General features: G+C 46.4%; 1 protein-coding gene across 17 annotated transcripts in view; it reads right to left on the bottom strand.

Moving 5' to 3' along the window:
- Positions 1 to 21,012, bottom strand: part of EVA1C (eva-1 homolog C) — a 103,665-nt gene extending 82,653 nt beyond the window's left edge. For 14 of the 17 annotated variants that reach the window (NR_135467.2, NR_104472.2, XR_001754885.2 and 11 more), the window contains exon 1: positions 19,722 to 20,029. Coding sequence is in view for 11 of the 17 variants with exons in the window: in NM_058187.5 (NP_478067.2) it covers positions 19,722 to 19,881 (160 nt within the window). In the remaining 6 variants the exon portion in view is untranslated. Of the gene's footprint in view, positions 1 to 4,050; positions 12,913 to 19,721; positions 20,030 to 20,541 lie in introns of those variants that run through there. The other 3 variants (XM_017028420.2, NM_001320745.2, XM_011529669.4) reach the window with 2 other exon arrangements.
- Between the last annotated feature and the right edge of the window lie 4,499 nt (positions 21,013 to 25,511).

Genomic DNA, 25,511 nt, shown 5'->3' with positions numbered 1-25,511 from the left:
AATAAGAGAACAGAAGACAGATGAAGCACCTGCCAAGGGGGCCAAAACTGAGAAAAAGGGAATTGCTCTGTTTTAGATGAAGGATTACGGAACAACATTTTCAAGAGCAGCAACGAAAGACCTGCCTACCACAGTGTAGCCCTCAGCAAAACCACAAGTGGGCAGACTCTGACTCTCCCATGCCCCTCTCGCTAACCCCAAACCCCTTCTAGACAGAATGCTCTCCTTCCTCTTCATCCTAATGCCAGGAGCAACTTTGGTGGTGCGTTCCCTGGACCTGCCCCCTTTGCCAAAGCTCCAGGTTCCAGAGCCTTCCTTTCTTTCTTCTGTTCTGCTTTAAGGCTTGCTTACCCTGAGTTCAAGACCCTTACAGCCTTGTTAGATAAATGGCTACGGAAGATGATCAGTTAATCAGAGCAAGTATGGCTGATGACGGCTTCTGCAATATAAAGCAATGAACCTGCGCCCACCTTCACTGAATGATCAACATTCACTTTGGTGTAATGGGGTAAACCATCAGCATGTCCCTCCTGATGTGATGCACAGAGAAGAACATGATACCATTGCTGTGACAGTCCCACCCCAAATGCATAAGAATGTCACCACCAAGAAACATCAGCCAAATCCAAAGTAAGGGACATTCCATCAAATAACCATCTTGCGTTCTTCAAGAATACCAATACCATGAAAGATAAAGAAAAACTGAGGAGCTGTTCCAGGCTAAAAGGGACCTACAGAGACACAACAACTGAAAATAATTCATGATCTGGGATTATCTTTTGCTCCAATGTACACTATTGGGTTAACTGGCAAAATCTGAATGAGGTCCATACATTAGAAAACCGTATTGTAGCAGGGTTAGTTTCCTGATTTTGATCATTGCCTGGTTATATAAGAGAAAGTCCTTGTTATTAAGGAATACACAGGAATATTTAGGGGTAAAGGATAACTTATCTGCCACTTAGAAAATAATAAAGCAAATGGGGTAAAATGGTAGCACTGGGGAATCTCAGTGAAGGGTATAAAGGATGTCTTTGTACTATTCTTGCAACGCTTCTGTGTCTGGAAAAATAATAATAAATATTACATATTTAATAACTAAATAAATGAAAAAGCGTGCAATGTTTCTGCAGGTGTCAACCTTGGCGATGTAATAGGATCATCTCAGAAGCTCTGCATGAATATCAGTGCCCAGGCCCCAACCCAGAGATCCATAGTCAGTTAGCTGGGGGTGAAACTGCAGACATTGGCATGTGTGAAACACACCCCAAGGTCATTCTAGTGTGAATCCAGAATAATAAGCAGCCAGCTTAGCCCTTAGTGTCGTTGGGTGACAGGAAAGTTCTAGGCTGGGGACTTTCTGAGCCCCCCATGTCTGCTTGTTTTGAGATCTGATCTTGAGGGCAGCATGGTGACTCAAAACAGGAGCATAGTTGTGGGTCCAGTCTTGGTCCTTCCACTAATAAGATGGGAGACGTTGGGTCAGATCCCTTGCCTGTGCCAAGCCTGGGTTTTCTCAGCTGTGGAATGAGGTTAACCAGGAAGTGCCTCAGAGGCCAATGTGCATTCAAGAAAGAAGATGCCCAGCTCAGTAACTGATATGGTGTGGCTGTGTCCCCACCCAAATCTCTAATTGTAGTTCCCATAATCACCACATGTTGTGGGAGGGACCTAGTGGGAGGTAACTGAATCATGGGGTGGGTCTTTCCCCTGCTGTTCTCATGACGTTGAATAAGTCTCACAAGATCTAATTTTTTTTTTTGAGACCAAGTCTCACTCTGTTGCCGAGGCTGGAGTGCAGTGGTGTGATCTCAGCTCACTGCAACCTCCGCCTCCTCGGTTTAAGCAATTTTCGTGCCTCAGCCTCCCGAGAATCTGGGACAACAGGCATGAGCCATCACGCCTGGCTAATTTTTGTATTTTTATTAGAGATGGGGTTTCAACATGTTGGCCAGGCTAGTCTCAAACTCCTGATCTCAGGTGATCCACCCGCCTTGGCTTCCCAAAGTGCTGTGATTAGAGGTGTGAGCCACTGTGCCCTGCCTGATCTAATGGTTTTATAAAGGGGAGCTCCCCTGCACAAGCTCTCTTGCCTGCTGCCATGTAAGATGTGACTTTGCTCCTCCTACACCTTCTGCTATAATCATGAGGCCTCCCCAGTCACGTGGATCTGTGAGTCCATTAAACCTCTTTTTCTTTACAAATTACCCAGTCTCAGGTATGTCTTTATTAGCAGAGTGAGAATGGACTAATACAATAACCCTTACATCCCCGGACCCCAAAATGGAGTTGCCACAGGATGGCAGTCTGAAACCCTTGTGATGTCCAGCTGCAGAAAGGAATTTGGATGAGTAGGGCTGGCCAACTTCTGGTATTGCTGGCGGGTCCTGTCATTATGTGGGTGACTCCTTGCACCCCTGGCCCTTCACAGGACTAAATTCTGGGAGGGTTCTTGGGAAAGGGGCTAGAGAAGGCGAGAGGGCACCAGTCTTCTTCCAGGCAGTAAGAAGGCAAGCTGGAGAGGCCAAGCTCCCATGTAAACTGAGGCACCTCCACTGGCCCCTTTGTGAGGCATGCTTGACCTGGGTTTTATGGAAAGAAAGTGCCCTCACCAAAGGGTGCTAAACAAGGCCCCAAGCTCCACGCCTGATCCCAGGTGCCCCCCTCTGCCCTGCCCTAGTCTCACCTAAAGCTGTACTGCCCAGAGTCGTGGCCTCAGGCCACACATGGCTACTGGGCACTTGAGATGTGGCCATCTCAATGGAGATATGCTGTTAGTGTAAAATATACACTAGATTTCCAAGCCTTCATAAGCAAAAAAAAGAGAACATAAAATATCTCATTAAGAATTTTTAAGTATTCATTAATGTTGAAATAATAATATTTTGAATATATTGGTTAAATAAATTTACTAGGAGAATTCATTTCACCCCTTTTACTTTTTCTAATGTGGTGACTAAATTATTTAATATTACACATGTGGATTACATTATATTTCTATTGGACAGCTCTGTTCTAAAGTCTGCACATTGTCCTTTTGTGGCTTATTTCCCTGATAATTTTATTAAAATTAAATTGAGGGGCCAGGTGTAGTGACTCATACCTGTAATCTCAGCATTTTGGGAGGCCGAGGCAGGTGAATTACCTGAGGTCAGGAGTTTGAGACCTGCCTGGCCAACATGGTGAAACCCTGTCTCTACTAAAAATACAAAAATTAGCTGGGTGTAGGGGTGCGTGACTATAATCCCAGCTACTCAGGAGGCTGAGGCAGGAGAATCACTTGAATCCTGGAGGCAGAAGTAGCAGTGAGCCGAGATCACACCACTGCACTCCAGCCTGGGGGACAAGAGCAAAAATCCATCTCTAAATAAATAAATAGAAAAATAAAATTGAGGGCCAGGCACGGTGGCTCACGCCTGAAATCCCAGCACTTTGGGAGGCCGAGGCAGGAGGATTACCTGAGGTCAGGAGTTCAAGACCTGCCTAGCCAACATGGTGAAATCCCGTCTATACTAAAAATACAAAAATTAGCTGTGCTTTGTGGTGGGTGCCTGAAATCCCAGCTACTTGGGAGGCTGGGTTAAGTGAAGGTTAAGTGAAGGAGAATCACTTAAACCCGGGAGGCGAGGTTGCCGTGAGCTGAGATTGCACCAAGGCGACAATCTCGCTCTGGGCGACAGAGCGAGACCCTGTCTCAAAAAATAAATAAATAAATAAATAAAAATAAATTGAGGAAGGATTGAGCATGCAAAATAGAATCAGCCTTGGACCCTGAATGCCCTGCAGTGAGAATTCCCCTGTGGTTCTCAGGCTTCTGTAATTCCAGCAAATACACTCTTCCCTCAGGTTCACTAAAATGCAGATATTGTGAGATAATGCTCATTCCTCACAGCTTGCTTGAATAATAATAATGATCATTATAGTAATTTACAACTTAATAGTCAACACTGCCTTTTTAACCCAGTCTGTGAGACTGAATCGTAAACATGACATTCTTTAAAGTAAAGCTCTCAGTTAATATACCAGACTGCATAAACTCTAATAACTTACCTTTCCACGGAAAGAGAATATGTGGGTAATGAAGACAAATAGTGGAGAGTAGACTCTCATCAAAGACCCTCTGGCAGTAATAAGTTGCATTCCAGAAGGTTCCACGAGGTTCAGGGGAAGGGTGCAGTTTGGGATTGGTTCTCAGGTGTCTGTCTGACTCCTTTCTAAGGATGAAGGCTCCTGGTTCGTGTTTTAGCTACACCCACAGGAGCAACAGACTAAGACATTCCTCCACACAGTAACAGACCCAGGCAGTGCAGAGCCATGTGGGCCTTATCTGTCCCGTTGTCCACAGTCTGGTTTTATCTTAGACCCAGCCTGGTGCAATCCATGTTGTGTACTGGCACTCCACTTAAGCTTCCTGTTTGTAAAAAGCCCCTTTCATTCGGTGATTCCTCAGGGCTTTAAGGGAACTTTCTGGAAACCAGGAAGAAGGAAATAAAGGTTGTTTTGCTGAGGATGGGTGACGTTGGGCGCGGGACCCAAATGAGTGGTTTGAGCAGAAAGTCGCCTCCACGCTGGACTAATGCTTGGCAACATTATGGGAAAATTTCTGAGCCCAGAAGTTTATCATCTATTCACAGTTCAGAGGGATCCAGGGGTCAGATACGATGCTTCAGTTCTTTTTTAAAAATATATAGTACACAATCTTTATCAACAAGAGAAGACAAGGGACATGGAGGACAAACTGTGCACTCTACATAAAGTATACATGTAATGAGAAAAGTCACTGTCCACTGTTTAAGGTCCAGGGAAGAAAACAACTAGGAAAAGAGAAACTTCAAAAACAAGTTTTTCCTGCCTTTCTTTTTTTTTTTTTTTTTTTTTTAATAGAGATGGAGTCCTGCTATGTTGCCCAGGCTTGTCTCAAACTCCTGCCTTCAAGTCATCCTCCCACCTTGGCCTCCCACAGTGCTGAGATTATAGGTATGAGCCACTGTGCCTGGCCTCTGCCTATTTTTTTTTTTCCCCTGAGATGGAGACTTGCTCTGTCACCAGGCTGGAGTGCAGTGGCACGATATCGGCTCACTGCAACCTCCGCCTCCCAGGTTCAAGCGATTCTCCTGCCTCAGCCTCCCGAGTAACTGGGACTACAGGCATGTGCCACCACGCCCAGCTAATTTTTGTATTTTTAGTAGAGATGGGGTTTTACCACATTGGCCAGGATGATCTCAACCTCTTGACCTCGTGATCTTTCCGCCTCAGCCTCCCAAAGTGCTGGGATTACAAGCATGAGCCACCACGCCCGGCCTCTGCCTATTTTTAACACTGTCTATACCCAGCGGTAAATACTCCATTCAAGAGGCATTTGAGAAGATCAATAATGTCTTTAGGCCTGCGTTTCCAAACTATATAGAAACAAAGAATAGTAAAGTCTTGCAAGAAGATGCTCTGAAAAAACAAATGTATTATATACATCGTCAAATGTTTTTACTTTTATTGCAGGAAGCCATATTCATTTAAGAGCCACAGTAATCCTTGCTTAAGAACATGGTGCCTTTTTATTAAAAGGGTGTCCAGGGAAAAGATGCTTCAGTTTTTTAATCTGAGCTGATTCTGAAAACTGAAGTTCTATGGCACCAAAGTGAGCAGGAATGAGAAAATGCCCTCCCGTTGGACAGCATTCGTACATCACCCACTTGAAAATTAAATCTGAAACAGAGTTCTGACAGGCCTGCTATTTTCTTCAGTGCCAAGAGCCACACAATAGACCTTTTTTTGGGACAAAGCTCTTAAAATGCTTGGAAATTCAGATGGACTGAGTCACAAAACTGTACAAATACTGCACACCCATTCCTGCTGGTGCCCCTGCTCGCTCTCTTGGAAACAATACTATATTTTCCCTGTGTTTGGCAGAAGGAAAAAAATATTTTAAGTAGAGTTGTGACTTGTCTGAAGGGGTGATGGAGGGAGGCATGCTCAGAAAGTGGAAGCTGCTCTGCAGTCTTGAGGCCTCTGGGCAGGGATGGTAGTTACCATTTCAGAGGAGTCCGTCGACTCCTCCTTCTCGATGTGGGCTGTAAAACGATGCTTAGCCCCATGACCACACAAACTCCAGCGTATCTTGATAAGTGTATAACAGCAGCACAGACTGCTGAATGCACTGTTCACAAAGTAACACCCAAGCTGTCTGTATGTGAGTGCATGGAGGCTGGTGGGGTGGCAGGGGTTGGAGAGAGAGAGGTAGGGGGAATGAGAGCAGGAACACAGGGAAGGAGGAAAGTCGGGGAGGCAGTGGGAGATGCCAAAAAAAAAAAATCTCTGCACTATCTTCGTGACTTTCTCCTTCCTTTTTCATGTTCAAATCAAATTATCCACCCCCCATCATGCAACCATTTCACTGAGATTTTGAAATAATTGAGATGTGTTGCAAACACATCCTCGCACGTCAAGTGAGCAAGTGACTTCAAGTCTGAACACCTCTCCAGAGCAATATTTCACTTTGACGTTAATGATGGCCAAGAGTCTAGCTTGAGATGAAGGCAAAAGGGCCAAACACATAGACAAGGTCCTTGGAGGAAAGGAAGGGGGAAAAATTCTGACTAAAACCCCACTGGGCTAGAGAGGGTGGAGAAGCACAGCAGCCAGTGGATTTTCATTTCTTTGGCTTTATGGAACTGAAGACCTCCTTCGGGCTGCAGAAGGCAAGCTAGATTTGGAGAAGAGAGTCTTTCAGAGCTGTCTAGGGACTCCAGACTCAACTCTGATTTAAAAAAAAAAAGTGTTCACTTTTTTCAGGTTCTAAAAGTGTGGAAAATAAAACAAGGACAAATCTGCTGGTCTAGCCCAGGGTTCCTCAACCTTAGCACAAGGACTGCATGATTCTTTGCTGTGGGGGCGCTGTCCTGGACAGTGTCAGATGTTTAGCGGTGTCCCTGGCTTCTACTCACTAAGAGGCTGTGACAAAGAAAATTGCCTCCAGAGATTGCCAGATATTCCCAAGGGACAAAATCACTCTTGGACTGAGAATCACTGGTTTCAACTAAATATCAGGAAAAGCAAAATGTTCACTGGGTAAAGATCGCCGTCCCCTGTAAAGAGCATATAGCATTTTTGGCAAATGTTGACAAACCCAAATAACCTGCCTTGACTTGAATAGCCAGGGAGAGACACAGAAATCTGAGACAAGAAAAGACCTTTTGCCTCAAAGCCTTAGTTTATGGTTTTTGAGAGCTCTAACACTAATAAAAAATAATCCTGGGCCAGGCACAGTGGCTCCTATCTGTAATCCCAGCACTTTGGGAGGCTGAGACAGGAGAATCGCTCAAGGCTAGGAGTTTGAGACCAGCCTGGGCAATCTAGCAAGACCCTGTCTCTACAAAATACTCTTTTTTTTTTTTTTTTTTTTTGAGATGGAGTCTTACTCTGTCTCCCAGGCTGCGGTGCAGTGGCGTGATCTCGGCTCACTATAACCTCCGCCTCCTGGGTTCAAGCGATTCTCCTACCTCAGCCTCCTGAGTAGCTGGGATTTACAGGGGCATGCCACCACACCCAACTAATTTTTGTTGTTGTTGTTTGTTTGTTTGTTTGTTTTTAGTAGAGATGGGATTTCACCATGTTTGCCAGGCTGATCTCAAACTCCTGACCTCAGGTGATCTGCCCACCTCAGCCTCCCACAGTGCTGGGATTACAGGTGTGAGCCACTGCACCCACCCTACAAAATACTTTTAAAAATTAGCGGGGTGTGTAGTCCCAGCTACCTGGGAGGCTGAGGCAGGAGGAGCTGTTGAGCCCAGGAGGTTGAGGCTGCAGTGAGTCACAATCATGCCAGTGCACTCCAGCCTGGGTAACAGAATGAGACTCTATGAGAAATCATCATCAATCATCATCATCATCACGTCATCATCATCATCTTGGGACATTCTAACTTAAAATAAAAAAAATACGGAAATCAGATGAGAGGGACCTTTGCACTTGAAAGTGGAACAAGCAAGACCACAAGATCTGCTCTGTGTGGTTCTCCACAGCCTGCCGTGACCAGTTCCACAGAGCGGGACCACAGCACTGGGGTTCTCAAGACCTCTTTTCATTCTGAGTCTTTGTGTCCAGGGTGGCCTGTCCACAAAACATTTTGCATCATTAGCTTTGGAAGGAGCGTTCTGGCATTCAGGTTTCAGATAATAGAATGAAGTGTTTAAAATGACAATCCCTTAATTTTACAAGGAAATTGACAAAGGGAGGCATGTAAGCCTGAACTTGGGTTCAGTGTACATTTTTTTTAATGAAAAAGAGACTGTAAAATTATGTGAATTTCTTCAAGTATATCCCTCCAAAGCTGTACAAATTGGACTTCTAGATAAGATCATACATTCCCATTTCCACCTGTCATCTCCTGTTGAGCAGGCAGGGAGGGAAAAGGAGCTGGTGACCTGGGTTTCTCTTGTTCCTCAGTACAGTACGATGATTTATGATTTCTAAGCCTGAGAATTTCGGAAGCCACTGAACATGAAAAGAGTGAAAAATCTTCTAAGTCAAGAGAAAGAAAGGAGATAACTTGGTAGGACAGTGTGCTCTTCTCTCAGACTCTGAAACACTACTCTGAAAGCTGTCACGAGTACGCATCGCATGGGCCTTTGCAGACAAAAAGGATTATTTTATCCAGATTATTCCCCCACATTGCAGGGGAAAAGGGACTCATTTGTAATCATCAAAGGAATGCTGACAGACTTGAAATGGGATTACACTCTATTATACTCATCCGAATTAAAGATTTGTTTTGGAGATCATTCTTAGGTTTCTTCCTCTCTGCTCCTCCAGCCCCAGATGAGGTGATTTGTATTCACAGGGCATCAGAGGCAGACATGAAATCAGACTGTTCACAAACATACATTTCAGACTCCGTGGCCTGAGTTTTGAATTTTAATGTTGCCTGGTTTTCTGCGTGTGGAAAACTTGGCTCTCAGATTGAAACGAACCCTAAGCATCACTTCATCCAAGCATCATTTCATTCTCTAACTTGTTAGTGCAGGAGAAATTCATTTCCAGAGGCTTGAGTGAGCAAATGATACAGGTGTCGGAGAGAACATAAGGATGAGAAATTCATGTAAGGAAATGTAAAATCTATGCATAGCCAGAGTCATCTAGTAGGTCTGTGAACATACTTCCAAACACTCAGTTCCAAGCTCTGTGGTTTGCTTACTAGTTTTTGGAGAATGTGACCTGCCAAATCGATTGCTCATCCCTCAAACTCCTCTGTAATGTGTGTGTCCATGAACCCACTAAGAAGCAAGCTTCCCCAGGGAAGGAATGATTTTTTGGAGTAGGTTGTACCATATCTAGCACAGCATCTGGTACCTGAGAGGCTTTAGACTGTTTCCCATTCTTCCCTACAGAATTTCTAGTGTGTGGTCACCATGAAACTGAGGCTCACCTGTGGAGGAGCCTTGAGTATCTCAGGGTGGAAGTTATAGTCCTTGGAAGAGCTCAAGTGGGTCAAGAAAGTGTCTCATGACTTTTGCTATCAAAAGAGTGAAATATATTACAGAACATCCCTCTCAATACAAAAAGATTATACTCCCTCAGCAGGAAGACAGAGCAAGGAATGTGGATAAAGTGCATTCAAAGTTGTACCATTTCTTTGTCCACCATTTTTTTTTTTTTTTTTTTTTTTTTTGAGACAGAGTCTCACTCTGCTGCCCAGGCTGGAGTGCAGTGGCATGATCTTGGCTCACTGCAACTTCCACCTCCCATGTTCAAGCGATTCTCCTGCCTCAGCCTCGTGAGTAGCTGGGATTACAGATGTGCACCACCATGCCCAGCTAATTTTTGTATTTTTAGTACAGACATGGTTTCACCAAGTTGGCCAGGCTGGTCCCGAACTCCTGACCTCAAGTGATCTGCCTCGGCCTTCCAAAGTGCTGGGATTACAGATGTGAGCCACTGCACCTGACCCCTTTAATAGTTCTTTTAGTAAAGATTCATTAGCGGTAAATTTGTCTTTCCTTCACACACTCTTGAAAAGCAGTTAAGCTGGGTATATAATTCAGGACTGATGGTTGTTTTTTGTTTGTTTGTTTCTCAGAACCTGGAAAATATTATTTCGCTGTCTATGGCTCCCACTGTTTTTGTAGCAAAGACTTTATAGATAACATTTCCTTTACTATCTGATTGCTTTTAAGACTGTCACTTTGTCTTTAGTATTTTACAGTTTCAGTATGACACATTCAGGTATAAATTTATTTTATTTATCTTCCTTGGAATGCTTAACTCTGAATCTTTCATCAATCCTTAAAAATTAATCCTAGGACACCATCACTTTGAGTGTTGCCTCTCTCTCCTTTTCCCTACTTTCTTTTTCTGGAATACTGATCAGATGTATATTCAACCATCATTCCATCCTCCATGTCTTATGACTTTTCTTCCATGTTTTCCATATGTTTACCTGTTTTGCTTCATTCCGGATAATTTCTCCAGCTTTTTTTTCCACCTCACTGTTTCTCTCTTCAGCTATACCTAATCTGCTCTTCAACCTACCCATCAGGCTTTTCATGTCAATGAATATATTTTTCATGTTAGTAGATATCTTTGATTCTTTTACAAATACACCTGTTTTTTCTCGATAGCCTTTTGTTCCTTTCTCATGTTTTAGATTCCTTCTTAAATTTCTTTTTAGATTCCCTCTTTTTTTTTTTTTTTTTTTGAGACAGGGTCTTGCTCTGTTGCCCAGGCTGGAGTGCAGTGGCACAGTCTCAGCTCACTGCAACCTCCACCTCCCAGGTTCCAGTGATTCTCATGTCGCAGCCTTCCAACTAGCTGGGATTACAGGCACCCGCCACCACACCCAGCTAATTTTTGTATTTTTTAGTAGAGACAGGGCTTCGCCATGTTGGCCAGGCTGGTCTTGAACTCCTGACCTCAGGTGATCCACCCACGTCGGCCTCCCAAAGTGCTGGGATTACAGGCATGAGCCACCATGCCCAGACCTAGATTCTCTCTTTTATTACTTAAGAACCGTGTCATTGCTGCTGACTACTGCTCATATAATGTAATTTTGAATTGTGTGATCATAATCAGCAGCATTTTAGCTATAGGAATCTATAGATGGGCCTATATTGATGATATTCCCATGAAGGCAGTATCTGTGTGTTTGTTTTTGCCAGGTATCATGGGACAACTTTATTAGTTTCTCAACTTGGGTTTCCCAGTAAAGGTAATATGAATTCAAAACCCAGACTCTCCAAAAGGCAGAATTTTGATTACACCATCTCAAGAGACATTATTTTTTTCTCCAATCCTGAACCTAGGCTATGACAAGTTTCCTTGTCATCTTTCTTTACAAGAAGGCTGATTTGTTTTACATCCACCTTTTAATGAAGGCTTAGGTTTTCAAAGTCCTGGCTTTATATAGAGGTCTTTATTCTAATTCCTCACTATACAGTGGTCTCACTCCTTATCGCCTGCGCTCAGGCACCTGTTAAATCTTCGTTGTCAAGACCATCAAGCAACTCCAACGTAGCCATAGGGTTAGCACCAGCTATCATCCCTAGTTCTCTATTCTCTCTTCATTTTTGTTTCCTCACCACTCATTTATACATTAAAAGATTTTTCTTATATTTTATTCAGCATTTCTAGGTGTTTTGTTGGGGAAATAGTTTCAGAACACCAATTTCCAGAAACAAATTACAGACCCAATTCTATAATCAGTTCTTTGAGGCTAGATGGTACTATCTTTAAACAGGACAAGGAATGGACATTACTTATGTAAGTCCTGGGAAAGATTTGGCTCTAGGAAATGAAGAGATAAACATGACAGAAGTGCCACTGCTTTAAACTGCATGTAATTTATTTTGTTTTATTCCCTTGGTATTAGAAAGGCTACCTGGATTCAAATCCCCAAAAGTTACTAAATTGCTCTTTGCCTCAGTTTCTTGAACTTTTTATACTAGCATCTCCTTTATAGCTACAACTGGGAGGATTAAATGAGTTAACATGAAGTTCTTTGAACAGTGTCTGGCATAGAGTGCTTTATGTGCTTAATAAATTATTTTTAGGGCCAGGCACAGTGGCTCACTCCTGTAATCCCAGCACTTTGGGAGGCCAGGGCGGGTGGCTCTCTTGAGTCCAGGAGTTTGAGACCAGCCTGGGCAACATAGTGAGACCCTGTCTCTACAAAAAAAAAATGCCAAAAAAAATTAGCTAGGCCTGCTGGCATGTGACTATAGTCCCAACTACTAGGGAGTGCTGAGGTGGGAGGATGGCTTGAGCCCCAGAGGTTGAGGCTGCAGTGAGCCGTGATTGCACCACTGTATTCCAGCCTGGGTGACAGAGCAAGACCCTATCTCAAAAGTAAAAGATAATTTTTTTTCTTTTTTCTTGAGACAGGGTCTCGCTCTATTGCCCAGGCTGGAGTGTGGTGGCATGATCTTGGCTCACTGCAACCTCCGCTTCCCAGGCTCAAGCAATTCTCCTGCCTCAGCCTCCCGAGTGGCTGGGATTACAGGCGCCCACCACCATGCCTGGCTAATTTTTGTATTTTAAGTAGAGACAGGTTTCACCCTATGGGCCAGGCTGTAAAAATTTTTTAAAACCCTAAAAGTATTTTTAACTCACCAACTTTTTTACTCATACTGAGGGAAACCAAGTAAAGAAGTTACTGCCTCTGCTGAGCCGGTGGTGCACACATGGGAGCCAACTAAAGGGGTGGCAGAACGAGATACCCCAAGGGGCAAGGGGAAACTCAGAAGACACCAGAATCACTTGGTCAGCTGCCTTTCCAACCCAAGATTCTTTTTCCAGTACTAAAATCTTCATGACTGTAGGATTTAGGATTTATGTTATTATGAGAAACCATTTCCTTACAGAAGGATACAAATATACCAGCCTCATTAAAATAGTGACAAAGTATCATAAAACTTCAGACCTCCCCCCAGCCCCCACCCCCGCTCCCACCTTCTTGGTCCATTGCTCAGCTTCAGTGACAGTATGTTTTTTTGTTTGTTTGTTTGTTTTTGTTTTTTGTTTGTTTTTGTTTTTACAGGAACTCGCTCTGTCACCCAGGCTGAAGTGCAGAAGCACGATTTCGGCTCACTGCAACCTTCACCTCCTGGGTTCAAGTGATTCTCCTGCCTCAGTCTCCCGAGTAGCTGGGATTACAGGAGCATGCCACTATGCCCAGCTAATTTTTGTATTTTTAGTACAGATGGGGTTTCACCATTTTGGCCAGGCTGGTCTCAAACTCCTGACCTCAAATGATTCACCTGCCTCGGCCTCCCAAAGTGTTGGGATTACAGGCGTGAGCCACAGTGCCCGGCCATCAGTATGGATATTTAAAACCCAATAGGTACTGGGTTCAAATCCTGCTTCTAAATTTTATTAGCAGCTGTGGAGCTGGGGAGAGCAGTACGCAAGTCAGGCAATAGGGGTGGGTAACGAGGGAGCAATTGTTCTCTCATAGTACATTACCCTCAAAGTGGTGCCTCACTAAGAATTTTAAAGATATTAAGCCAACAGGATGGCTGTGAAGATCAGTGACCTCCAAATTTTTTTAACTCATGAACTCATCTACGCAACAAACCTTCCCATGCACCCCCAAACCTAAAATAAAAGTTTTAAAAAATAATTATTATTACTGGCAGAAACAATTATAAAAAACATTATGAACAGAAACATTTTGAGAACACATCTCCAATATATGCACACTTATTTATAAATTACATGTTGTTCTGTCAATTTATATGTTAATTATAAGCAAAACTTAACTCCTTTTTTTATTAAGATGGAAAACCAATAGGCAAGAACAGAAGTTCTGACATGTTTTTCCTACCCCACTGGACCACTTTGTGAGTGCACCCACTTTGGAAGGACTGTGATGAAATGATGCTGATGGGAGGGTAGGAAAAGGTCAGTCTATTCAGAAGGTAACCAAAATGGCAGCAATGACCCCATGAACTTTCAAGAAAGGTTAGGCAAATTGTGGTACTTTTTTTTTCTGGCCTTGCTCCTCCCTACCCCCAACACCCTTGCAGGCGAAGTCCCCAGCCTGGCCCCATCCCTGTACTCTGGCCAGCCCTGGTGCTGGAGCCTGCCTCAGCTCTGCTCCCTAGCTGGGTGGTCTTGGGCAACTTTGTTACCCTCTCTGAGGCTGAGTTCTCATCTGCAAATGAGACTGGTCCTGATCTCACAGAGTTGCTACGAGGATGAAATCAGATAAAACTGAGTTCAATTAACTTTTACCCTCTTCCTTTCTGTTTCTTCCCTGAAACTGCTGCTAGGCTCCCCTTTCCAATAAAGCACCTGGGAGACCAAAGCCATCAATAACAGGGACCACTTGTGGGCCGAGACTCTTCTCTGCCATAAAAAGAGCCGGCAGAAAACTTTTCAGATGTAGTCACTTTCCATGGAAACAGATGAGCAGATTCAGACACTGGCTATTCATCTCTCTTCTTCTGTGGCCTCTAGACAACTCCTTCGGACATTTGGTTTGTTTTTCTTTAGTTACGAGCTGGCTTTTCACTCCATAAATTTTTTTAAAGTAAAGATAAATCTTGAATAAAAAGGATGATGTGACTGAGGCATCATGAAATGCAGAGGGAAGGGTGTGTGCATGCGTGTGTTTGCATGGCTGTGCATGCACAGGTGTCTGTGTTGCGAGGTGCTGATATGCTGGGGAAATACAGTCCTGGTCTCCCTGGTGATGAGCCCTAGGGTAGGGGGTGAAGGGGACACCCAGCCACACTCTGTGCCCTTGGATGACCTGATGCATGGGCAGAAGGTCACCCTCCCCTCTGAACTCCAGAGGTGTCCTCAACTCTAGCTGCATATTAGAATTGCCTGGGGAGCTTTCAAAAAGAGATCAGTGACTGGCTCTCCCAGGGCCAATTACATCAGAAGTCTTGGGGTGCAGCCTGAATGTCCATAGATATTTTTTTAGTCTCCCCAGGAGATTTTATTGTGCTGCCAGGACTGAGACCCAATGCTTATCTGAAAGCAAATAACAGGGTTCAACCTCTCCAAAATGAACAACTGTGTCCATCAATACTGAGTTCCCACCTCAAGGCCCCCGGGATCAATTGAATTACCATATTTCTATACCCTGGAATTCCTGGCCAGTGAAATAAAGAGCTATCAGTCAGGTTTATTTATTGGGCTGCAAATGATCTAAGTTTTGGCTGAACTGCATCCCACTAAAATTCAAACATTGGAGTCTAATCTCTAGCACTTCAGACTATGATAGTATTTGGAGACAGGGCCTTTAAATAGGTGACTACATGAAAATGAGATCATTTGAAGGAGTCTAGTCCAATATGACTGATATCCTTGTAAGAAGAGGAGGTTAGGACACAGACACACATGGAGGGAAGACCATGTGAAGATACAGCAGGGAGATGCCATTTACAAGCCAAGGAGACAGGCCTCACAAGAAATCAACTCTGCCAAGACCTTGATCTTGAACTTCTAGCCTCCAGAACTGTGATAAAATAAATGTTCCTTGTGTAAGCCACCCAGTCTGTAGTACACTGTTATGGCAGCCCTAGCAAATTAATACAATCTGGTACCAAGTACCACTTAATGCTCACTTGGGCTACCAATGGCAGGGACTGGAACACTGGCCCAGGCCAGGTGGGGTGGTGCACACCTGTAATCCTAGCTACTCAGGAGGCTAAGGGAGGAGGATCGGTTAAGGCCATGAGTTTGAGGCTGCAGTGCACTATAACTGCACCTGCAAATAGCCACTGCACTCGGGCCTGGGCAGCAGAGCATGACTCCATTAAAAAACAACAACAACACTTCTATTATAGAGTGACCTTTGTTTGAGGTCTGGGGACATTTGGGTACAAGGAAGGCCTTAAAGACTGCCCCACTCTCCTTGTTTCCCATCCCCTGTCCCTTCTACTTCTCACATTCACCACTATGTGCCCTAGGACAAAATCAAATGTGGAAACATTTGGTCATGTCTACTTTGTCCAAGGGTGGGAGTTCTTGAGGAATTCAAGTGGGAACTAGAACAACTTTCTACCCTTTCCTTCCCTTCCTTCCTCCCCACCTCTACCTAGAAGCCCATCAATCACTTTGAACTTCTTGGAGAAAAAAGGAAACAAAAGAAAAAGAAAAGGAGAGGCTGGGTGCGGTGGCTCATGCCTATAATCCCAGCACATTGGGAGGCCAAGGTGGGTGGATCACTTGAGGTCAGGAGTTCGAGACCAGCCTGGCCAAAATGGTGAAAACATGTCTCTACTAAAAATACAAAAATTAGCTGGGTGTGGTGGTGGGTGCCCATAATCCCAGCTACTCAGGAGGCTGAGGCAGGAGAGTTGCTTGAACCTGGGAGGCAGAGGTTGCAGTGAGCCGAGACTGTACCACTGCACTCCAGCCTGGGCAACAGAGTGAAACTGCGTCTCAAAAAGAAAAAAAAAAAAAAAAAAAGAAAAAGAAAAAGAAAAGGAGAGAAAGGAAAGAAGCAGGGAGGAAAGAGAAGACCCAGCTTACCTTCAGCAGAGAAACAACACAAATTAGAAGCACACACACACACACACACACAAAACAGTAAGTACTGAGGGACCATCACAAACTAAATACAAGAGACACACTGAAACACCACTCTTTAAGGCAAAAATATGAGGATCCCTTGCTTTTTATGGCTGCTACTCAAGAGGGCACCCCTCCCTCCTCTCAGCACTCATCCTCAAGCTCCAGCTCCCTGTCTTGTTCTCTGAACAAAGAACTATGGGCATAGCATTATACTTCTGGGGTTTGTTTTGTTTTTTAAGTCAATGATGAATTTAGACGTCTCAAGCCAAATCCTCAATTTGAGAATGCAGTCAAATGAAGAGAACTCTATCCCAAAGAGGAAAGTGGATGAAAGCCAAGCACATTTGAGTATGAGATTAAGGATCAGAGGCACTAATTTTGCATGAACTTCTCTTGCCTTCGCTGGGATTCATTTTTAATGCAGTGATGATAGCCTTCCAGTGGCCGCTGGCGACATCTCAAAATCTTTGGAGATGAGAGAGAAGGCGGTGTTTGGGGAGCCTGTTTACTAGCAAGCTTGGAGGTGATTAGAACAAGTCACGAGCATGGACAGGGAGGAGGAGGGGGCCATGATGCTGCCTCTGGCTTATTAAGAGTGAGATCGATGCTGGAATCCCTGAGGGCAAAAAAAAATCAATGACCCAGGAAAACGACACCAGCTGACAGCCCCAGGAAAAGGCTCAAGGAAGAGCCGCAAAGAAGAGAAAGGCTTAAGGAACTTTCCAAAACTCTGCACTGCTAATCTCCTGGGGGGAGAAAGGGGCCTATATTGTACAGACAATGGCTGGGACCCCTGACATTCTGGCACTTTCTTTCACATGGATACACCATCCTCCCTCCTCCTTCACAGGGCAGAGGGATCCCAAGTTTCCTCTATCCTCTGCTAGTTTTTGATGTTCCCTTTATTTAGAAAAACAGGCAAGTATCTGCATTGTCAAACACTGCTCTCTAGCCCTGGTTATTGTGATCAGGCTCTGCAGGGGAGGATCCACTGTCTCCTTCCAGGCCTCAGTTTTGGTTTCTATGCACTCCTTCAAGTTCATAAAAAGGAACAGGACCGACTGTCCCAGGAACACAGGCGGCAAGCTTTGAGGCCACATGGGGTTCGCGTCAGCTGAAACACTGAACCGAACAATAAGATGGTCATCTTTGGAGCTTAGGAATTTGCAGAGGGAGGGCGGCTAAAATCCAAGTCAAATGAGCCAACTTTGGAAGATGATCTTTCTTTCTCCCTGAGATTTTTCTAATATTTCCCTGACCTCACATGATATAGAATTAAGGTTTAAATTTAAGTGCATCAGTGGTTTGGGAGGACATTATATTTCCTTTCTTCTCCCCAAAAGGCTTCTGACATGTTCTGCCTAATCTTCAGATCTCTGGAGAGCATCACTGATGAGAGGAAAAATGGGGGCTCGTTGTGGGTGGCAATATCACCACCTACTGCTGGCTCAGGGAGTTTGAAACCCTGGAATTTAGGTTCGTATGGAAAGCAGAAGAAAATGCCTTTTATCATTTATACTATTTAGAATAACATGTATCAAATCATTCATTTTACTAAGGAGTTGATAGCTCAACTCCACTGTATGTAACAGTTGCTAGATACAGACAATTCCAAACTTGGGTGGTAATCTATAGACTGTTACAAGTATTGCAACTGCTTCCCTAAAGCAACAGAACTCTAAGTGTCTATAATCTGTGAAAACAATCTAATGGTTACACTGCAATTTGCCTAAAGCAATATTTGTTCAGTTGCAATGATGTCACAAACACAAAAAGGCTTGTCAGTTTTCAATTATTTCCTTAGAATTCAGAGCTAGATGGTGGCTGAACTCAGAACTGCTTTCCATAGCTCAAATCAGCTAATACAGAGCTTTTCTAGCAGCCAAGAAAGTTCTAGTAGTACAAAAAAAAAAGTTAATAGCCCTTGAAAAGTCTGATGCATTTCCCCACAACTCTTACCACAGAGTTCTGATCCTGGGATGCTTGATTTTAAGGGCCGTGGGTGGCTTGCCAAATAGGCCTTATCTTGGCTTCCTTTGCTAGGTAGGAATACTGCCTTGATATTACATATTCAAAGCAAAGAACCTCTGACCTAAGGGCTCTCCACTAACAATGACATTCTCTGTAAGTAAACTAGAACCCCATCTCAACTTCTGGTTTGCCCTTGTTCTTTGCTATGTACTAGCCTACTGCACAAACAGGACTGAGGAGGACTCCCTTTACCACCATTATGTTGCAAAAGACTCTGCACTGAGGACCCGATAGGGACCGACTGTGCAAAGCCTGAACTTGGCAGAAGATCCCTGGAGAAGGAGGAGTATGGGGCTCAGAGCTGCTCCCTAAGCTGGGCTGGGGAAGGCTGAAGGCCTCCAGCCTTGCCAGAGGGAGATCCAGGTGTGCTTCAGCGGCAAGGACATGTGTTACCTTAAGCAACTGCAGCGCTAACTTAAGCATGTGCTCCTATGGCTATCGTCAACCTAGAAATCCCTTTCACTTTGGGGCGTCACACCTGTAAGCTCAGAACTATCTGAGATCCGCTGCGAGAGCCTGGATCACGATTCCCAAAAAGAAAAGCCTCCTAGTTTATTCGAGAGTAGGAAGTCATTATTTTCTGTGAAGGAAACTGGAATTGGAGAGGGAGGACCCTGGTACACTTTGGCAGAGAGGCTCCTCTCTCTTATCTAAGTATCTCCTCATCCCTCACTGCCTTTCCACCAGACCTCCAGTCCCCGCGGGCTTCCCTTTCTACCTGCCAATGTGGACTCGAGGTCAAGTGTCCCCTGGGCTAGTCTCCTTACATGGGCAAACGGGCTACGCGGGTGACAAACGCGGCGCAACGCCTCCGACCACAACACGTGTATTTTACAGCGCTGGGCGCGGCACAGGGCTCAGTTTAAGGAGCCTCCATAGAACGAGCGTGGCTCAGGACCAGGTCCCTAATGCTAGGAAATTGACGAGGTCAACAGCAGGGCGAGAAACTCTGAATACATTACACACCCTTCCTTCTTGGGAGTGGCAGTCCCCCGTCGCCACTTCACTCGCAGCCATCTATATGCCAAGGGCTCACACCAGACAAGTGTCTGTGAGCACGCCTCAACTTTAATCCTACCCCGCCGTGTCCACTGGTGCGGCTGCCCCCAGTCGAGGGTTCACCTGGGCGCTCCGCGGTGCCGGGGGCACACAGCCAGGGAGGGCGCTCTTACCAGAGAAGTCGGTGAGCGCTGAGATCTCTTTGGAGCAGACCAGGACAGTGCAGTAGAAGAGGCGCAGGAGCTGCCCCGGCGGCTCTACCTGCCGGCGGAGGCCGGGATGCTGCACGGGCTGGGGCGTCGGCGGTTGGCGTGCGCGTCCCGGCAGAAGCATCGTGCGCTGCGCGGCGGGGCGGAGGCGCAGGCCCGGGACGCGCTGGGGGTCGCAGGGCTAAGGACGGCGTCACATGGCGGGGAGAATCGATGGCCAGCGGCTCCGCGGCCCCCCGCCGCCTCCCTGCCCAGGCTGCCAGAGCCTCCTCCCCTGCGCGGGCCAGCCCAGGCGCCCCAGCAAAGGGGAGGGGGCGGAGAACTGGGGCGGGGCGAGGATCCCCGAAAAGGATCCGCGTAGTTTCCCCGAGAGGAAATCTCCGTTGCCGCCGTGCCGGAGGAAGCGAGGGGGGCCGTAGGGAAAGCGCAGCCTTCGCGCGCCCCGCGGCTGCCCAGGCCGATCCCTGGCGCGCTGCCCACCGCGGAGGGCGCCCCCAGTAGCGCGCCCCGGGCCGCGCACCTTGAGCGCCTTCCACACCCGGGAAACAGCCGGGCACCCGTGGCCCTGCCCGCGCTGGCCGGGTGCCAGCCTCGCCCTGGCGGCAGAAGGAGCGCGGCCGGTGCCCGTGACGCACTTTGGAGCCAGCGCCGCGCGTGCAGCTGGGGCGCCCCCGGGGCGGGGCCGATCGGGGGCCGCAGGAAGGTGGGGTCCTGGAGGCGTGGGATCGCACCGCTGCCATCCCCGCCACCCGCCGCGCGCCACGTGCAGTCACCCGGCACATACAGTTATCGCCATTCCACAGAAGAGGAGACTGAGCCCCGGCGCCGTGCCCAAGCTCTCGCAGCCAGGACGGCGACGAGCTGGAGGTCTCAAAACCGGTCAGATGGCTCCGGAGCCGGGATCTTTAGCTCCAGCTCGGCTTCCTTTGGGTGCTGGTTGTCCGCAGCGCTGGGGGATCTGACACTGCACCGGCGCAAACAGCCGCCGAGCGCTAATAATTGGGCTTTGTTTTAAAGTGGGCCACAGCATCTTTCTGAACCTCTAGACTGTGCGCGGGGTGACCCACGTTCGGACGCCCAGCCAGTGGCCTAGGAGTGGCCTGCGTAGCCCCAACTCAAGGGTATCGAGGACAAGTGCGCGAGGGGCTCCGTGGCTGCTTGCCGGGTGCGGGTACCTGGCGCCCAGCGACCCAAACCCTATGGATCGCGCGGGGCCGGCGGAAGGGAGGAGGGCGGGCGCTAGGCACACAGTGTTCCCGAACCCGGCGGGAGGGCCTGCCAAGTTCGCGGCGGGCGTGACGCGGAAACGTAGATAATGAGGCCCAGGGCGGGGCCGGACGCACTGCCCCGCGGGCTCCAGAGCTGCGAACGCCCCAGAGTGTGCAGGGAGGCCTGCAGAAAGAAAATGCGGCTGAGGGTCCCCGTGGGACCCACTCAGAGGTGGGCCGTAAAGATCCCGGAAGGGTGGATGGCATTAGATACCACCTAGTACTCCAGCAAGGGCTGGGTCACCGAATTGGGATCTCGGCCTCTTCTTCCAGTCTGGGGAAAAGTGTGTTAAATGCTAAACATCAGTGTTTATCGAGTGAGGCCCAGCCTGTCTGGCATAATGATTTTTAAAATCTACATTCAAATATTAAATAAAAACTCAACCTCCCCAATAACATTTGAACATAAATATTAGTGTGCGCTCTCTAGGTTAGGGAAACTGAAGCTGGGAGTGTGGGTAAGGATGCCCAGCACTTAGGAGCCACAGGGTAAGTAATGTTTGTCCAAAACTCGGGTCCCTCCTGTACTTTCCATTCTGTCTGTTCATTCATCCAGTTTAGATATGAATTGGTACCAACGTGTGCCAGGTTCTGCGCTAGTGACTGACAGTGTTGGCACAGGGAGGCAGCCATGCTCCCGAGTCCTGGGAGTGGGCAGCACTGCCCTGTGGGTCTGCACTGGCTTCCAAATGTCTAAGTGGGCACTGTTACTCACTGTGACAGCATCCCCAGGCTTTCTTACCTGGTAAAGCAGAAACTCAAACATACTTACACACCAATATTCATTGCAGCATTATTTATGATGGCCAAAAGATGGAAGCAACTCCAGTGGATGAATGCATACAGTTACTATTACAGCAGGGAAGACAGACATTGGAAAATAATGCCCCGTGAACGGACAGTCACGAAAGACAGGAACCATGGGAGCAGAAGCGAGGAATGAAGGAGCTGAGCCCGAGGGAGGAAGGGAGATATTCAGGAGCATTTTAAGGCAAGATGGATGAGAAAGCTAGAGGATGAATTGGCCAAGCAAAAACTAGCAAAACCCGGGTGTTGCGGGAGGATGAACATTTTAGAAAAAGGGACCAGCATGTTGAAATCCAAAAGGAGCATGGCTGTCTTGAAGGATGGGGAAAAGTCTAGACAGCTGGAGCAGAGCAAAGGGAAGAGCCAGGGGACTTGGAGGTAGGCAGGCCAGAGCTCAGGGCCCTGGAGACTTTGGTGAGAATTTCCGTCTTTTATCTTAAGCCAGCAAAGAACTGTAAGTACAAAAGTGATGTGATTGGATGTGTGTTGGTAAAAAGTCCTTCTCGGCTGCTGAGTGCAAATGGACTGGAGGAGTCAAAAGCAGGCCCTGGAAGTATGTGTGCCAAATAACTAAAAGCAGAGACAGACTCAAACAGATACTTATGCACCAATATTCCTTGCAGCATTATTTAGAAGAGCTGACAGATGGAAGAACCTCAGTGGATGAATGGATAAACAATATATGGCATGTGGCCGGCTGCAGTGGCTGGTGCCTGTAATCCCAGCACTTTGGGAGGCCGAGGTGGGTGGATCACCTGAGGTCAGGAGTTCAAGACCAGCCTGACCCACACGGTGAAACCCCATCTCTACTAAAAATACAATATTAGCCAGGTATGGCGGCACACGCTTGTAGTCCCACCTACTCGGGAGGCTGAGGCAGGAGTATTGCTTGAACCCGGGAGGCAGAGGCTGCAGTGAGCCAAGGTTGCACCACTGCACTCCAGCCTGGGCAAGACAGAGCGAGACTCCGTCTCAAAAAAGAAAAGTGGGTCTGGGGAGATGGCCGTGGTGAGGGAGAGAGTGCAGTCAGGGGTTTATGGCTGTGCTTGGGCTGATGTGCTCGCTGTACACCCAGAAAGAAGAGGAGAAGCGGCCACAATGGAAGGATGTTTAGAAGGCAGATGGACAGCACAATGCGACCGGGCAGTCGTGGGCTATGAGAGGGTCTGAAGGACGTCTCCCTGGCTTCCCTCTGTTTTGTCCCTTAGCCCCTCACTGTTAAATCAGAAGATTTTGGTCCTAATCTGATCTCTTTAAGAATTTTGGAATCTTGCGAGAAAACTGAATTGCTCAGTTATCTTTCTCTCTGGACCCCACACTTTTCTAAGAGCTTTGTAGGTCAAATACCTTAACTCTGAGGCACTATAACAACTCATAGGACGGAAAAGTGGGAAAAGGAATATATGTTTCAAAGAGGGATGAACAGTGTAAAATCAATCTGGGGTCTGGAGAGAAATAATCTTTTCCACCGAGGCAGTTTTCCTTAAATGCTTTCTACTATGATGGAATTTGAATAATAAAAACAGTCATAGCCACTTGGTATTTCAACACAGTTATGGGAGCTGGAATTAAAGTGAATGATGACTGGTGTGCCAAATAATAAAGTGTTTCCAAAATATTAATACTCACAACAACCCTTTGAGATAGGTACTAACTAGGCTAACTACGTCATTTACTTGCCCAGTGCAAAACGAAAATGTGGGGCCCCTCGTTCAAGGATTATTAAGAATTCCAGGATGATAATAGCAGAGCATTAAACCAAGCATAGTTTAATGCTTTGAACACAGGGCCCTGAGTGATTGCTCAGGTCATATGAAGCTGGCCCAGGTACAACAGGAATCTTCATTTCTCAGATGGGGAGACTGAGGGCACAGAGTCATACTGACCGTCCGAACCAAGACTTGAAGCCCTCTTATACTGCAAAGGCACAGCAATTAGGTGGAGGTAAAATAAAGGGTTCTTTTCTAAGTGATGGCACCATTGGGCAATCTTGTTCCTTCTTGTACTAGTTTGAAAAGTGCCTCTGTAGTCACAGCATTCAGTCCATGTGTGCAAGAGGCAACCTTTACAGGACATTGTAAATTACACGTCTTACTTTCTGTCTCTTTGTTTTCTTTTAAAGCAATTCCTGCACCTTCTTTTCAGCTCCATGTTACATCTCTATTTTCCTTCTTCCTTGAGATCCTAGCTACTTGTCTCTCACCCTCTGCCATATCCAAGCCTATTTATTTTTTCTTTAGGTGGAGTCTTGCTCTGTTGCCCAAGCTGGAGTGCAGTGGCACGATCTTGGCTCACTGATATCTCCGCCTCCTGGGTTCAAGTGATTCTCCTGACTTAGCCTCCCAAGTAGCTGGGATGACAGGTGTGCACCACCACACCCAGCAAATTTTTTTTCTTCTTCTTCTTTTTCTTTTGTATTTTTAGTAGCGACAGGGTTTCACCTTGTTGGCTGGGCCGGTCTTGAACTCCTGACCTCAGGTGATCCACCCACCTCGGCCTCCCATAGTGCCGTGATTACAGGCTTGAGCCACCAGGCCCAGCCACCAAGCCTATTATGGGAGATGTTTATGTGCTTCACACTCAGACTGCAACCCTGAGCCATGTCCTCTCACCTGGGCCATTGAGGTAAGGTTTTTGGCTTCCAACAAATGGGCTGTAGCCCTTCTGAGAAGACATAAGCTGCCATTTGGAAACCTCAAAGAAACCAACCTTTCAGCTCAGGAGAGAGAGGCCCAATGTCGTCTGGAGCTTAAAAGGCTTTTTTTTAGAAAGCAACAAATGGTAGTTTGTTTCTAGAGCTGGCACCACAGAGCCGCATCAATAGCAAGGAGCCTGCTTGGTCAGAACTGCAAAAGCCACAGTGCACTAGAAAAGTTGTGTGGGAAGGTGTGGCCCCAAAGCCTGCAGAAGGAGGTTTTTGTTTTGTTTTGTTTTTTGAGATGGAGTCTCGCTCTGTCACCCAGGCTGGAGTGCAGTGGTGCGATCTCGGCTCACTGCAACCTCCACCTTCTGGGTTCAAGTGATTCTCTTGCCTCAGCCTCCTTAGTAGCTGGGGTTACAGGCATGTGCCACCATGCCCAGCTAATTTTTATATTTTTAGTAGAGATACGGTTTCACCATGTTGGTCAGGCTGGTCTCTAACTCCTGACCTCCTGATCTGCCCGCCTCGGCCTCCCAAAGTCTGGGATTACAGGCATGAGCTACTGTGCCCGGCCAGAAGGAGGTCTTTAAGAATATGTGCACAGCAGTCAACTGATGTCTGTACTGACAGCCCATCCGAGGTCAAAGGCATCTCATCCAATAGTGTCAACCTATATTCAAATAGCCACTCAGGAGACCTCAGGTCAAGTCCCAGCTCTGCCACTGAGACAGAGGAACCCACAGAGGCACTTGACTCGCCTGTCTCTCACTTTTTCACATTTGCAAAATGAAAAAAATGAATGCTAAAATCCATTTTGACTCTAAAAACCCATAACCTATTTAAAATAGATGTAGGATTTCAAAAAAATCAGGCTAAATCTATACTGATTCTTTTCATTCCTGAGTGTTTTCTTAATTATGTATTCTCACCTTTTGCATATGCTATCAGTTTATATGTGAATCATTGTCTTTGTAAAAGAAGAATGCAGCACGTGCAAACTCTTGGAAGTTTTTGAAGCGTTGTGAAGGACTGAATTCA

This window comes from Homo sapiens, chromosome 21, assembly GCF_000001405.40.
Source record: "Homo sapiens chromosome 21, GRCh38.p14 Primary Assembly".
Taxonomy (NCBI): Eukaryota; Metazoa; Chordata; class Mammalia; order Primates; family Hominidae; genus Homo; species Homo sapiens.
The sequence above is the reverse complement of the archived record's forward strand: the minus strand, read 5'-3'. Positions and strand labels throughout refer to the sequence as shown.